The sequence below is a fragment of the Homo sapiens genome, chromosome 14 (genome assembly GCF_000001405.40).
Source record: "Homo sapiens chromosome 14, GRCh38.p14 Primary Assembly".
NCBI lineage: Eukaryota > Metazoa > Chordata > Mammalia > Primates > Hominidae > Homo > Homo sapiens.
The window spans coordinates 89245513-89260912 of record NC_000014.9 but is presented as its reverse complement, the minus strand read 5'-3'; the positions used below and the strand labels follow the sequence as shown (position 1 = coordinate 89260912).

At 44.5% G+C, this 15400-nt stretch overlaps 1 protein-coding gene across 2 annotated transcripts in view, besides 1 other annotated feature; it reads left to right on the top strand.

Moving 5' to 3' along the window:
* The window catches only part of FOXN3 (forkhead box N3), a 462989-nt gene that overhangs the window by 358253 nt on the left and 89336 nt on the right, over positions 1-15400 (top strand). The window lies entirely within an intron of this gene.
* Positions 7726-8381: an enhancer, noted in NCBI's record as "H3K27ac-H3K4me1 hESC enhancer chr14:89718876-89719531 (GRCh37/hg19 assembly coordinates)". NCBI's record gives its function as "activates a minimal SCP1, AML or CMV promoter by ChIP-STARR-seq in primed H9 embryonic stem cells {active_cell/tissue: H9 hESC(primed)}" and the evidence as "EXISTENCE:reporter gene assay evidence [ECO:0000049][PMID:30033119]".

The window sequence follows — 15400 nt, the reverse complement described above, 5'->3', positions numbered from 1 at the left end:
TTATACTTGCCATAATAAAAATATATTGGTTACACAACTAAAATACATAAAAGAACAAAACTAATTAAATGTTATAGCTGCTCGTTTATGTCATTAGGGTAATGTTAAAGGTTAGTTAAGATCTTTAAAAATCTGAGCAGCGCATGCAAACATACAAATGGCAGAGTGATTCCGACACTTGGGCTGCTTAAATATTAGGGGGTAGGGAAGCTTTCAGTTGGGCCCCTCTTTGAGCCTAGTTGCCTGTGCCGGAGCATTCTACACTTCAAATAAATACAATCCATATCCTTAAGCTGTTACGTGAAAGAAATAACAACTAATAGCAAGTCGGCCATCAGGCCCATTGCCGTACACATGACCCTGGGGACAAAGTGGGCTGCACCCAGGCTGTGCCAGCCAGGAGTTCTTTGGCTGGTCCCCTCCCACCTGATATAGATGAGCTGGGTTAGTGCTAAGAAGAGAGAGCCCCTCTTTTCTTGCTGATTGCCGGGAGCACAGGGGTGCCAGCCCAGAGCTCTGGTGCAGGCTGCCGCAGTGGTCGGGCTCTCCCAGAGACCTGGCCTCACCGGGAGTGATCTCAGCTTCGTGCCCGGGAGAGCAGATCCCCGTACAGAAAAGGGAAAGCAATTCAGTGGCAGATTATGACCTTGTTGATCACATTTGAAAGCAGGTAGTATTTGGGGAGTTAGTTCAGATTAAAACTATGGAGGAGCAGTTACGTAAGCACCGACTGTGCAGGGTGAGGACCGGTAAGCTATTTGGAATTCCCAGGATTATAAAAATCATTACGTGTTGTTTAACAACTGGAATACTTTTCAGGTGTTCTAAATGATCCATTCACACTGCCCGACACGAGGCTGCAGACTTCCACTATCTGCTGTTACTTGTAGAGAATCCCATAGACTGACCTGATCAGTTCCATAAGGACCAGCATTTTAGAAGTTCTGTCTGTGGATATGCTGGTTGAGAGTAGATTCAGAACTGAATGTCAGGATTCCAGAGGTTGAATGTGTGTAGCTGTTTTTATTTCACTTAAGTCTTTTTGTAATCTTAAAACATATTTAATATGCAGTTCAGATAGGCCTCCAGATGTTCTGTGACAACCAAAGCTGGAAGGAAGGTTTCTGTCGGGGGAGTTGACCCCAAAGCCTGGAAGTTTCTGCCGAGCCCTGGTCTGTACTTTGGTGCTCACTACCATCTGCTTTAGAGCTGCTCTGCTGTGAGAGGCTGTATGTCAATGACTATATTTAATTAATTTGTCTAACATATCCCGCCTAGTTCCAAAAAGAATTTGCAATGGCCTACAAAAGTGCTGTATACCTAGAGGTTTTATTTTTTATCTTATTTTATTTTATTTTTTAAAGGAAGTGCAGAAATTATAAGGGAAAATAAAGGCAAGAAACCCAAGATAAAGTTAGAGGATAACATTAATATACAAAATTAATATTGTAAATTCTAGGTATTGGTTTGGGAGTGGGATCAGTCATGAATTTGGCTCTGAGCTTCCTAGTGACCAGAGCAAAGAGGGAAACATGATCATTTGTATGGTTTAAATGTTCAGAAGATTAAAACTGACTCATTACCCAAGAGAAACACAGAGGTCCGTAATACTAAAACCTGAGAGATGCTTGTCCTTTAGATTCTCATAGAAAGAGATCATCAGTCATACAGCAAGACGCATCCTTAATAATATGCCTGGTTTCAAAGGCAGTTTCCTGTAACATCTCTCTAGGCAAAGCAATGCAACAGAGATGTAGAAGTCAATTATTCAGTGATAGTTCCAGGAACATTGCCTTCTTGTCTCTGAGTGACTGGGTCTGAGGTCCGGCCCAGAATCTGTAGTCTTCAAAGCCACCAGGTGATTCTGTTGTATAGACAGGCTTGATGCTGTCTGCTATAGGCAGTGAGAAACAGATAACTAAGCTAGGCAAGTGGCCAGAGCTGGAAACACAGAGTTGGTGAGTTGTTCGTGATCAGGGGATAACCGAGCATGTGAGAGGATGTGAGAGGTGAAGCTCAGAGGAAGTGAGCCTAGTAAGGAAAGAGGGTGTGGACGAATGAGCCTGATAGGACCCCAAAAGAGGAAAAGACCTGGGCACATTCCCAAGGGAGAACCTTCATACTCGTTTTAAACCCTTTCACAAATGTGGTTTAGAAGAAGCTACATAGATGGGAAAGGTATACTGTCATGTGAAGAAGACATTTGAAGGTAAAGCGCATTGAATATATCTTTAATTGGGACCACTGTAACTATTAGTTACATTTATCTTCTGAAAAAAGCTGCTTACATTTTAGCAAATAAGATGTAGGTGTTTTCTGGGAAAATACATTTTAGAAAATAAGATGTAGGTGGTCCAGGTGGTATCACAATGACTACTATTTATTAACCTGGCCTGTTGTGTTCCAGGCATGGAGCTTGGCACATACCTGCATGCCTTCACTTGAGCCTCACCAGAGATCTGTGGAGGAAAAGTGGCATCATCATCATCGTCATCATCATCATCTCCCTATCAGTGACAGTGATTTACTCAGATTTGCCCATTCCAAGAGAATTCATAAACTTGGCACTCTATCTGTGGTTATGAAGCTTTCTTTCCCCTTTCCTTTTCTCCTCCCTTCCAGGGGGTTGAAATAATATAGAACATGAAATCAGAACTGTTGTCCATTGTTGGTGAACTAAGGGAGGTGGGAGGCTGAGGGTCACTTGGCTCAGCCTCCTCCTCAGCCCCCTACAGAAAAGCCAGGCAAACACCACTGCTCCAGGGTGTTGCTGCCTCTCAGAGCACTGGCCCACCATGATTTTGTGATGCATTTGTCATGGCTCTAGTGCGTGTGTGTGTGTGTGTACACTCAAGGATGGTTGGTCATTCCCAGTTTCATTCTTTATGATGTCTCCTTTTACAAAGTAGAAAACAAAACCATGAAGGCTCTACTCTGCTGTTAGGATACCATCCTCAAGCCTTGGTAAAAATGCTCACACCATTGTCTTCTGAGGAAATGTCACCCCTTAGAGAGTGCTCACAGGCACCCATGCCACTCGCTTTGCATTGCTCTGAGGTTAAAATCAAAATCCACGGGACATCGAGGACCAAGCCAGTCTCACACCAAGACCTTAAATGGACATTAGCCAAAGTCTTTGAAACTTTCATTTTTTTGTTTTTTGGAGATAGGATCTCACTCTGTCACCCATGCCGGAGTACAGTGGTGTGCCCATAGCTCACTGTAGCCTTGACCTCCTGTGCTCAAATGATCCTCCTGCCTCAGCCTCCCAAGAAGCTAGGACTATAGGTGTGCGCCACTATGCCCAACTAAACATAATCCAGACTCTTTATGGTGAAAATTCACCTGGTGGGGAAGCCCAAAGAGGATTTTGAGAGATTTCCTAATCTAGTCTCTTCCCACAGGATCGGATTATACAGGAATTGGTACTTACAGGTGGTAATTAGTTCTGTTCTTAGAAGATTTCTCTAGAGGGTAATTCGACTACTTTCTTCAGTAGTATGTTTCAGCCCAACTTCGTGGAAGGAACTTCTTCACACTCTCTAATTTGAACCTCTCTTCTTATGGTTTGAATACAATTTCCTTTACTTCTGTCCTCTATGACAAGGAAAATAAACAAATGGGTCCATTCCCTGCATCTTATTGTAACACCTTGAAAATGTCACCTTGCCCACAAACACCATGGGCCTCATGGAAGGTGGTGGGACTCAGCCCCTCATGATGGAATGGAAATAGGTCCATGTGTCCATATGAGTTGTTGATGGTGGTGGATGGAGCCACCTCCTCCTGCCCTAGCCCTGGGGGACTCTCACCGCAACCTGCAGGATAGGTGGTTAAGGAGGGGTTTGTTTTCCAGCTAAACAATGGAATGTTTCTCTGCCCAAAAATAACTGGTTTATTTCCTACTAGCTGACCTGCAGTTCACACAGAAAATAATGAATATCTTGAGGGGTCTAAACTATACTGCTTTTTATAGCTTCTTCTGATTCTTTGAAAAGTAGACTTGCAGAGGTCTCACCTGCTCAGGCTCCTGTTGGCAGAATATCAAACCGTGGTCTCATAGCCAGATTTTCCCTGAATAATGAATGAGCCAGTGTCGAGAAAGTCAGAAATAGAAATCAATAAAGCTAAATTTCACCAAGAAGAGGCAGCTTTGCAGTGGAATGATAGAGAACATTGAGGCCAATGGATGCCAAACTCAATAATGCACATCCTTAAACTCTCACGGATTAGGGAGAGCAGAAAAGAAAACCAGTGTCTTGGGAAGAGTCAGAAGGGATCAGAGCTTGAGAATACACCTTGCTCAGTGGGAAGAGGAAGGATGGGCCAAGCATCAGAGGCTCAGCTTCTTACGGCCGGGACAGCAATAGCGTGATGCACAAACCTCCTGGGAGCCAGCGTTAAACATCTTCATAAATCATATGTTTGCAGCTGTGTGACCAAAATAGACGTCCACCCAGCCTGTTTGTCCTGGCCTTGTGGAATGTGGCGTGACCGTAGGTCCTCAAAGACATCTGTGATTCCTGCCCCTGCTTCCCTCAGTGCCGTTCATCAATCATCTGTCCAAGCCTAACTCTCCCCTCTGATTGCCAGTGACATGGTCCTACTGATTGATTGATTGATTGATGATTGACTGATTGATTGATTTTCATATGAGAGAGTTTGAAGCATATTGTGTGGAGAGCCTTTTTTATGCCAGTTATTCATTGAAAAACTCGATTTTCCCCTTGAAAATGACAACAGGTGTCCTTGAGGGGACAGGGCAGTGTGAGGAGGGTGGCAGGCAGGGAAGGGTGGTGCCAGCACACTCATTCTGACCCGCTGGCACCAGGCAACCATGAGTTCTTTTATTAGGGCATGTCAGATGTGCCTCTGGGGCTGGTGTCAGACCCACCTCCACCCTGCCCTCTAGACTTACTGTGAGCCTCTGGCACTCATGGGGAGGTGTCTTGTTCCTTAGGTGCCTTGGTACATTGCAAAAAACGAAAGTGTGAGAGCCACTGGAGGCTGGTTGTAGAAGGGTAATGGCAGGGTCTCTGTGCAGAGTGGCACTCCTGCTTCTTACTCCTATGAAGACCTTTTTTCTTGAGGACAGTCATGAATGGTGTGCCCAGCGGTTTCTCCTGGAAGGTCAGTTTGCTGACCCCAGGCCTTGTTAGTGGTTTAGTTGGAGTCCGCTTAGAATGTCCTGCGTGCTGCTTTGAAAAGAGCCCTGGGCCAGGAGCAAGGGCCTTGGGTTTAACCTTGGCACCTTTTGTATCCTCCTTTCATAGCCAAACAGACATGTGCAATTTATAGTCAACTCCCTGGGCCTCAGATCCTCACCAGGAGAAGAGTGTTGGATGGGACCATTTCTTAAGATCCCATCTAGCCTCTGGCATTCTGGGTGTGAGGGAGAAGACTTTTGTCATAGGACTTTTTGTTCTTAATTGTTCTCGCCATTCCTAGAGCCTAGTACTGTTGCGTCTGACACCGAGAGAACCAATGCTTGTTGAATGAATGAGTGAATGAATGAATGAACACAGACCAACAGTAATTCATCTTCATAGGCAGCTGGTGCCTGATTTAAATACAGAGAGCCGGTTTCCTTGTGTTTGACTCAAGTCTACACAGTTGGAGATTTGGGCATCAGTTGAAATGCCGCATTTGTGAAAATGAGACCGGAAAGTGGCAACGTGGGCTCATGGCTGGTGTTGAAAGAAGTGTTAATGTGTGAATTTCTTCTAAAAGACATTTCACAATGCACTGTGTCCTTAGCGTTCTCGCCCTTCATCAGAAGAAGGAGTCGCTGATGCTGAGGCCTGTGCTCCCTGTGTTCAGAGAGAGCTTTATAGAGTAGCCCCTGGCCTCTGGGAACTTAGCCTCTAAGAATTTGCACTGCCCCCAAATGCGCCGCACATGGGAAATCCTCATGGGGGGAATAAAAAAAGCTCTGAATCGATACACAAGTGTCATTAAAGCACTTAGCTTTCCTGCAGATCTCTGCTAAGTGCTGCTAAGTGCGTCGTTAGTGGGGGAGTGGACAACAGAAGGCCCATGGCTGGGCCGCAGTGGCAAAGGTGTGGTCAGAGAAGGTGGCCTTGAGCACTCTGGGTCTGAAAAGGTGAGTAGGACTAGTATCTCTTCTCAGGCCCCCTAGGAAGGCCTCATGGAGGAGACGAGTGTTCAGAGGCAGAACTTGGAGGTGATCCCACCCCACCAGGCAGAGGACACAGATTGATGGCCCCGGGAGCAGAGCCAGCACACTGGTACACAGATGGGTTTTTTTATTGTTGGACAGAGTGATTTTGAAAATTTGAATTCATTGCCACTACTTAAAAATCAGGAAATTTTACATAAATATCTGGATTTCTAGCTTCCCTTGACATCTGGGAGATGGAGCATCCCCGGGCATGCCTTGCTACAGGGCAGCAACTGGCTGGACCTGAGCAGCCACACTCCGAGCTGTCTGTCTGGCCGTGCAGTTCTGACCACTCGCTCCTTTCCCTGCACCACCCCTTCTCCCCACCTCCCTTACAGACACTCAGCCATTTGAACTGAGTCCCTGGTTAGGGAACAAGCTTGCTGACTTCTGTTGGGGAAACGTTCCAGGCTCAGGCAATTCAAGCAGCCTTGCAGAAGGCAGGATAGCATGGCGATGATGGTGGTGATGATGCAGCTAAAACATGGAACTTTCTACTATGCGCAGAGCCTCTTCTGAGCACTCTCCTTGCTTTAACTCATTCATCCTACAGAAACGTGTGAGGAAGGGGCCATTATGATCCTGCTTTACAGATGGGGAGACTGAAGTGTTAAGTTTCACAGGGGCAAGTACCTGCTCCATGTCATGTTGTTAGTATGTGACACAGCTGGGGTTTCCATCCAGGCAGCCCGTTCCAAGACTGGTGCTCTTGACCAGGGATTAAAAAAATAACAGTTACAGGGTGCAGAATACAGGCCAGGGATCGTGCTGGGTGGTTTGATGGGCCATGGCCATAGATCCCAGCAACAGCCATTGGGACAGGTACCATGTGCCGATGAGGAAACAAAGGCTTGAAAAGATGAGTGATCTGCTCAGGCATACAGCTGGAGTCCGGAATCCATCAGGGCAGCTGAATTGGAAAGTCCTGGGGGATTTCAGGAAAGAGATTGGGGTCTTGAAAAACGCAGTGATGGCTAGTGAGAAGGGTACAGATTGACTAGAGAGGGAGGAGGAGGAGGAGGCCAAAGATTTATTAGAAGGCCTTAGACACATATGTCTGTACATTCTGTTTTTTTAAAACAGGATTGAATTTTGCTTCTCTTTTAATTTGGCGTCTGTTTTCTTGGTGCTGTAGCCCAAAGAAAGGAGCCCCCACCAGCCAAACTTTTCCCTTAAGAAACAACTCCGGGAGTGAAATAAGACTTGATCTTTTCTGTGCTCACAACTAAGGTTTCTTCAGTCCAGTCTATTTGTTGGGAAAGAGCCGTTTGATCTCCCACGTGGGCAGCATCAGGGCAAACAGGATGGATCACGCCTCACGGAGTGGTGAAAACTGGAACCGAATCTCCACCTTGAGGCCATGCAAAGACGTGCTGGCCCTGGGCAGCTCTCCCTGGGGAGCTCTTGAATTCACTCTTCCAGAAGCTTCATGCCCTAGAGCGAATGCCAGATCCCTGCCAGAGGCTCTTTTCCGCGATGCCGGTGAGCACTCCCTGAAAAAGGAAGTTTCCAAACTCAGGCTCCCTCCATTTTTGGTCCCCTCCCCAGGTGCAGGCTGTTTCGCATCAGGCCTTAATGAGCCCTGACAACCTGGGGCAGGAGGGAGCCATTTATAGCTAAACTGTGGTGGCTGCAGGCTGACCATCATGAGGCAGCATTCTTCTCCCTGGCACAGTCCACCAGGATCAGCACCGAGGCAAAACACCAGACACTTAGTGTCCTTGACAACCCCCTTCCAAGCTCTCGGAGCTTGTCTCCTTTCTCTAAAGTGACTGCGCTTCCCACTTTGGTTCCTGCAGTCCTGAATCTACCCACCCTTTGGGACAGTACCTACCCGCCATGTTGTGCACACACTCAGTTGAAAACGCATGCCAGTTTTATATCCTATTTCACACTGTATCTGTTGTTTCTCTAAAGATAATAATATCTTTGCATACTTTAACTCTTTATTCCAAGATTTTCATATAAAATCGAGGAATAGGTAAAATGTCCCATTTGCATTTTGAGTCCTCATATCTTCACACACCTCTTCGAGATATTTATGTAAAATTTCCTGATTTTTTTTTTTTTTTTTTTTGAGATAGAGTTTCCCTCTTGTTGCCCAGGCTGGAGTGCAATGGCACGATCTCGGCTCACTGCAACCTCTGCCTCCCGGGTTGAAGCAATTCTCCTGCCTCAGCCTCCAGAGTAGCTGGGATTACAGGCATGCACCACCACGCCCAGCTAATTTTGTATTTTTAGTAGAGATGGGGTTTCACCATGTTGGTCAGGCTGGTCTCGAACTCCTGACCTCAGGTAATCCGCCCTCCTCGGCCTCCCAAAGTGCTGGGATTACAGGTGTGAGCCACTGCACCCAGCCAATTTCCTGATTTTTAAGTACTGCAATGAATTCGAATTTTCAAGATCACCCTGTCCAACAGCAACGAAAAACCCATCTGTGTACCAGGGGTAGTATATGGCCTACTTTGAAAAGCTCACATATTAAAAGTATTAATAATCCTTGGCTCTATAGCCTGGATCTGGCTGGTAGTTTAGCAGGTTATTAGCTGAGTAACCTTTGTCAAGTTACTTAATCTCTGTTTCTTCATTTGTTAAACGGGCATAAGAATCACTACTTTGTAGGGTTGTTGTAAGAATGAAAGATGATCATTTAAATGGCCAAGTGTAAAAGTGGCACCTAGTAGACAATGAATGGTTGTTATTCAAGACACAGTTCTTCCAAAGAACTATCCCTGTTTCAGCCAAAGCCTACTGTCTGCAGTTGTAGCTAGTTTATCGCAAAGCAAATGTCTTTGAATGCTTTAAACCTTGGATTTGTTATATAAGGTTGAGCATGTTTGTGTCATTTGTCTTATTGCTTGTGCTTTGAGGTCAGGGACCACATGTAAAGACACCTTTGCATTTCCCATAGCACATCATTGGTGTTCTGTAAATATGCCAAGTTATTTGTTTATAGTAATGATTTTATGAATCCAAAGCAGCATGTTGAATTATTGTACAAAGAAAATAAATTTAAAATGGAATATTTCATAAAGGAGATGGCAGTTGAGTGGGATCTTTATATCGAAGGAAAACAGACATTTTAAATTTAAGTACTTGATTAGGTCCATGTACTCTTAATATTTGGAGGCTTTTTCCTATGCCAGTAAAGTAACTGAAATCCACCCACATTCCACATTAAATATCATTATATGTAAGCTATGTAAGAGTTGAATTTAGTTGCTCTTGATTGGTTAACATATGTTTATAGACATTTAACTGAGCATTTATTTCAAATGTGCGAGGTGCTTTTCCAGTGAATTTTGTGTTTTGGGCTGACCCATTTGCATAGGCTACAGAAAGCTTGGAGGCCCAAGCACCAGAATTAGGGGACCTGGTGGATCAAACAACTGGTAAAGGATTCTAGGCAGAAGGGGCAGTCTGTGAGTCAGGTCAGCTGCCTAGGGTGAATTCCGGGACAGTACTTGCATGGGTGTGCTGTGGCTGTAGGAGGCGTCTGAGAAATGTAGGATATGTGGGAAGAAGGCTGGAGGCTAGAAAAGGAGGAAATGCCACCTTCTAAGGCACCAGTGGCTCACAAGTAGGGGCATTTTGTTAGAAAAAACACAAAGCATAAATCCAGCACTTTCAAATACTAATCTTTTTCTTCAGCCATTTCTTGGCCAAGATAATTTTTTCCAGTCAGTGCTGTGGAACTGTATTAGTCTCTTCTCACACTACTAATAAAGACATACCCGAGACTGAGTAATTTATAAAGAGGATTAATGGACTCACAGTTCCACCTGGCTGGGGAGGCCTCACAGTCATGGCAGAAGGCAAAGGAGGAGCAAAGTCACGTCTTAAATGGTGGCAGGCAAGAGAGAGAGCATGTGCAGGGGAACTCCCCTTTATAAAACCATCAGATCTCATGAGACATTTTCACCATCACAAGAACAGCATGGGAAAGACCCACCCTCATGATTCAATTACCTCCCACCAGGTCTCTCCCATAACGCATGGGAATTATGGGAACTACAATTCGAGATTTGTGTGGGGACACAGCCAACCCATATCGGGAACATATATGAGTTTGGGGACAGAAGAAACATTTTCTTCTAGAATGTGCCATTCCCCATGGCCCTGGCAGAATAACTTGACTTCTCAGGATGTGCTTCCTCATCTGTAACATATGTGAGTTGGTCTGGGAGACATCAAAGGCTGCTTTTCTTTATAACCAACAGGTGTTTTTGCAGTTCTCTCAGAATTGTTCCATTGCTATCACATGACCAACTAGAGTTTGATATTCTTATATGTTTATGCTCCACTTTAGAAAACAAAACCAGGCTGGATGCAGTGGCTCATGCCTGTAATCCCAACACTTGGGGAGACTGAGGCAGGATAATTGCTTGAGCTCAGGAGTTCAAGATGAGCCTGGGCAACATCTGAAGACCCCCATCTCTACAAAATTTAAAAAATTAGCTGGGCATGGTGGTGTATGCCTATGGTCCCAGCTACTCAGAAGACTCAGGCAGGAGGATCCGTTGAGCCCAGGAAGTCAAGGCTACAGTGAGCTGTGATTGCACCACTGTACTTCAGCCTGGGCAACAGAGCAAGACCCTGTCTGAAACAAAGAAAACCAAAACCAGAAAACCTCCATCATGTTCAGTCAAATTGGTTCAGGGTTTGGCACACTTTTCCTGAAAGGGTCTTACAGTAAGTCTAATAGACTTTGCAGGCCACAGAACCTGTCTCACTTCTCAGCTCTGCCCAGGCACCCACAGGTAGCATGTCAACTGATGGATATGGCTGTGTCCAAAAAAGTTTTATTGATGGCCATTGAAATTTGAATTTCATATAATATTGATGACTTTTTTTTCAATCATTAAAAAATGTATAGAACCGCTGTTACCTCTCAAGCCATGCGAAACAGATGGATTTGGCCCATGGGCTGAAGAGCCTGTCCCTCCTCTGCAGTCACAGGATTTCCTCCAAGTTCCTGTTGTAGTCCTATACACCACCGTGTCTTTTATGGCATTGTCCCATCGTTGGATTTGTGTTTCTTTCTCCCGAATGAGCAGGGACTATGAGACCTTCCTCTACAGCCAAGAGTCCCTGGCGTATCATAGGTGCTTGCTGAATGCCTTCCAAATGAATGGTGTAGTAATTATCCCACTTGCAGGATGGCTGTGTCTACATGAAAAATTTGGAAGTTATTGTTTCATTCCTAGAAGGCAACATCTGTTTGGAGAGATCCGTGCTGGAAGGTATTTAGTAGTATCACGGTGTCTGCGTTGCTGACTTGCCCTCTCAGCATTTCAAAGGCTGTGATGCTTGTAAATAAATTCTCTTTACCTGACAGTGGCTGCTCTAAGAGTTACTCAGCTGAGAAGCTCTGAGTGCCTGTGAGTGTGAGTAAGCGAAGACTGTCAGGGGAAAGGGGAAAGGGCTTTGGAAAGGAGGATGGAGAAGAGACAGGTATGACAGCAACGGAAGCCTTTCCTGCTACAGGTGGCCTGTAAATATACTGTGTAGCTCTGCAGGAATTTCTAGAATGTTCCTTTCCACTGTTGGCAAGCTTTAGTGAGTACAGTGTATCTGTTGTGTCCAGACTCTCAAGAGACTTGATTTGAATGAGCCCCTGAAATACTTATTTTATACCTTGTTTATAATTTTAAAGCAAGAGCTTTCTTTATAATTTCAACCCAGGAATGATGTTTGGCATTCAAGTAGCCTGGTTTGTGCAGGCACAGGCTTGTATACGTGGAGGGTATAATGCCAGGATGCACAAACAAGAAATTACAACCATTTACTTGTGTATTATTTTCTCAATTTGAAGCACTTGAATTCCAGAGCTCTTAAATCAAGAGGTTGAATTCCTGACATTTTAAAGTATTCCACTTGAATAAGCTGTTTAAACCATTAGAATGGCTTTAAAAAAATTCACCTGTTTCTTGGATCATTTGCTCTTGAGATTTACTTAATTGAAGTTTTTGCCTTTTCATTTTACTTCAAATCAAAATCATGTCTATAGCGGAGGAAGTTCTAATTTTATTCCTATGGGTAAAGTCGATTTCATGCCTCAGACTGTTCCCCACCAAGTGAAAGCAGGCAGTTTTCCACTGCCTCACGTAGCACAGCACACGTAGGCATGCACTTATCTTTTCTTCCAGAAGAAATCCTTAAACTCTGACTTTTCCCCCCAGGGCATCATTTCTGTAAATACAGCAGCTTTTACATTTTCAGGGTCTCTGGCCCATGTCAGCTTAAAGCTGAATTTGACTAAAGCCAGTCCCTAGGGAAGAGAGTAGACAGGGATGGGGAGAGTATTAATAATGAAGTCACAAAATTATTCTGCTGGGCATTTTTTATAAATCATTTGCTCCTGTTGGTGGAAAGTGAGACAATACTAAGATGCAAAAGTATGGAAGGTGGAACTAAAACTGAAATGATCAGTTCACATATTTGTAAACTGCGTATTTTATATCAGTCGCTGGATTAGGCCCCTAGAGACAGTGGTGGCTAAGTGATAAAGTCTTTGCGCTTGTGGCATTTTATAGTGTAGTGGGAAGACAGAAAGCAAACAAGTAGAGAATCATATATGTAATGTGACCTCAGGTCCAGCTAAGCGCCAGACAGAAGAAAAAAGTAAGGTGAAGGTAGAGGGGTTGGAGCAGGAGGAAGGTGTTATTTTAGGTAAAGTGGCCAGGGAAGGCCCTTTGAAGAATTGATATCGATTCCAAAATGATGAGAAGGTGCAATTGTGCCACCATGGAGGAGAAGAGCTTTCTAGGCAGAGGGCAGGTGCAAAGATGGTAGGAACAAACACGGCTTGTTGAAAGAACAGCAATGTTTGAGGAATGAGCAAGACAAACAGTGGTAGGACAGGAATTGGGAATGATTAGCAGAGGCCAGATCACTGTAAGTCATGAAGAAGAGACTGGATTTTATTCTAATTGTGATGGGAAGCCACTGGAAGGTTTTGAGGAAGGGCAAAACCAAATCTGGTGTACTTTTTATAAAGATGACTCTGCAGGGTGGAGAACAGAGTAGGTTGACAGGGAACAGGGGTTATGTGTGGAATCCAGTTACAAGGCTATAGTCATAGCCTAGATGAGGGTGATCATGATTTGACCGAGACTATGGTGGTAGCAGTGGTGAGATATAGTTGACTGTGCACTAGACCTCTAGTCCAAGGTCTTGTCTTAGAGACTCAAGACCTTGCACTAGACATCCTTTCCTGTCCCCTTATCATAATTCTGGCCTATAGTAGAAGCATAATAAATTATCTATTTAATTGAGCCTAGAAGTAAGGTTAAGTTTAAAATCTACTAATACTTCCCTGGCCTTTCATAGCTCTCCCAGGTTCCAGAAAGCTCCACTAGCAACCCAGTTTTATTGGTCAAAATTTTCTTAGTCCCCAGGCTTGGGTATGTAATAACCTTTGACTGGTTTTAAGCTAGGGATGGAGAAGAGAGGGAAAAAGGATAATTGTCATGTTTTATACAATAATTATGCTTAAGCTTTGTGTTACACTTTGCAATTTACAGAAAGTATTTTATTTGTATCACTGTTTTTGCACAGGAGAATTTTGAAAAATTATGAGATGGAGGGATGGATGGATGAATGGACGGACGGGTGTTCAGATGGATGGACAGACTGACTATTGGGTGGGTGGGTGGATGGATGGATGGATCAACAGACTGACTATTGGGTGGATGAATGTTTGATGGAAGAAAGAAAGGAAAGAGGGAGAGAAGGGAGGAAGGGAAGTCTCTTTCTCCTGTTGCCCAGATTGGAGGGATGAATTGAGGGAGGGGTTATTATTCATTTAATTAGATTTTCTTAGTAATCCAGATCTGAACTTTTCTAACCGTCTTGTCATGCTCTCTTTTCTTCAGCCATAAAGCCGCATCCGGCTGGGCACAGTGGCTCACGCTTGTAATCCCAGCACTTTGGGAGGCTGAGGCGGGTGGATCACAAGGTCAGGAGTTCAAGACCAGCCTGGCTAAGATGGTGAAACCCCGTCTCGACTAAAAAATACAAAAAATTAGCCAGGCGTGGTGGCGGATGCCTGTAATCCCAGCTACTTGGGAGGCTGGGGCAGAGAATTGCTTGAACCCAGGAGGCAGAGGTTGCAGTGAGCCGAGACCACGCCCCTGAACTCCAGCCTGGCAACAGAGTGAGACTGTCTCAAAAAAAAAAAAAAAAAAGCCGCATCCTGCAAATAAGATGAGAAAGGAGGTGTGGGCGCTGGGTGGGGCGGGCACTCAGATGAGATTCTCTGCCCACTCTGTAGAATTACTCTTCATTGTGGCTCTCAGAACTCGGAGCCTGTGAAAACCATGGTTTCAGGGTGAGGGGTCTCTACCCTAGGCTGCATTTCCTGATGGCCTTTAACCTTCCCAGGCCTGGAGGAAATCATGCCCCGGGAAAATATATGTTTTAACTTAAAGATGTAACACAATTAAAATGTAAACACCAGTTCTCAGCTTTAGCCCTTTACTGTGAGGGTGATGTAATAAGAAAGGCCACTGACATTTTGGGGTTGATGAAAATGGTAACTTTTAAAGGTAACATGGGTTTTATTGAAATATAATTCACATACCAAACAATTCACCTATTTAAAGTACAATTCAGCGGTTTTTTTTCGCAGAGTTGTGCAGCCATCAGCACAAGCAGTTTTAGAATATTTTCATCACCCAGTGCGGGGGAAAAACCCTGTACCCTTAAGCCATCACCCGTCCTCACACCAAATGATGACTTATTAAATCAAGCTGGCAAGTCGTGGCCTGCAGGAAAGTGAGCAATGATTCTCAGCACTCTGATTAGCAAGTGGCTTTCCAGCAAGTGTCACAGGGCTGCGGGTTGGGGTCTGGGGGATGCCAGATGCGGGATGGGGGGCTGATCTCACTACTTGGAGTATCTCAGGGGGCTGCCTCTCCGGCTGCGTGTCCTCAGGAGTTTGTTTGTTTAACAAGTCACTTGGCCCACATAGAATAAGCTCCACTTTTTTGGAGAAAAAGGAAAAATGTGAATTTTGAAGCATTCTTTTATATCTCTTTTATCTGAAAATTTCTTCTTTCTCACTCAACCACTTTTCCAAATGCTGGTCCTGATGGATGGAACAGGCTCCCCTTTTACTTTATTTCATAAGTGGTTTATAACCCTGAGGCTGAGAAACGATATAAATGAGGGGGAAAGAAGTATCCTACAAGAAATACCCAGTTAAAGAAAAGAAAA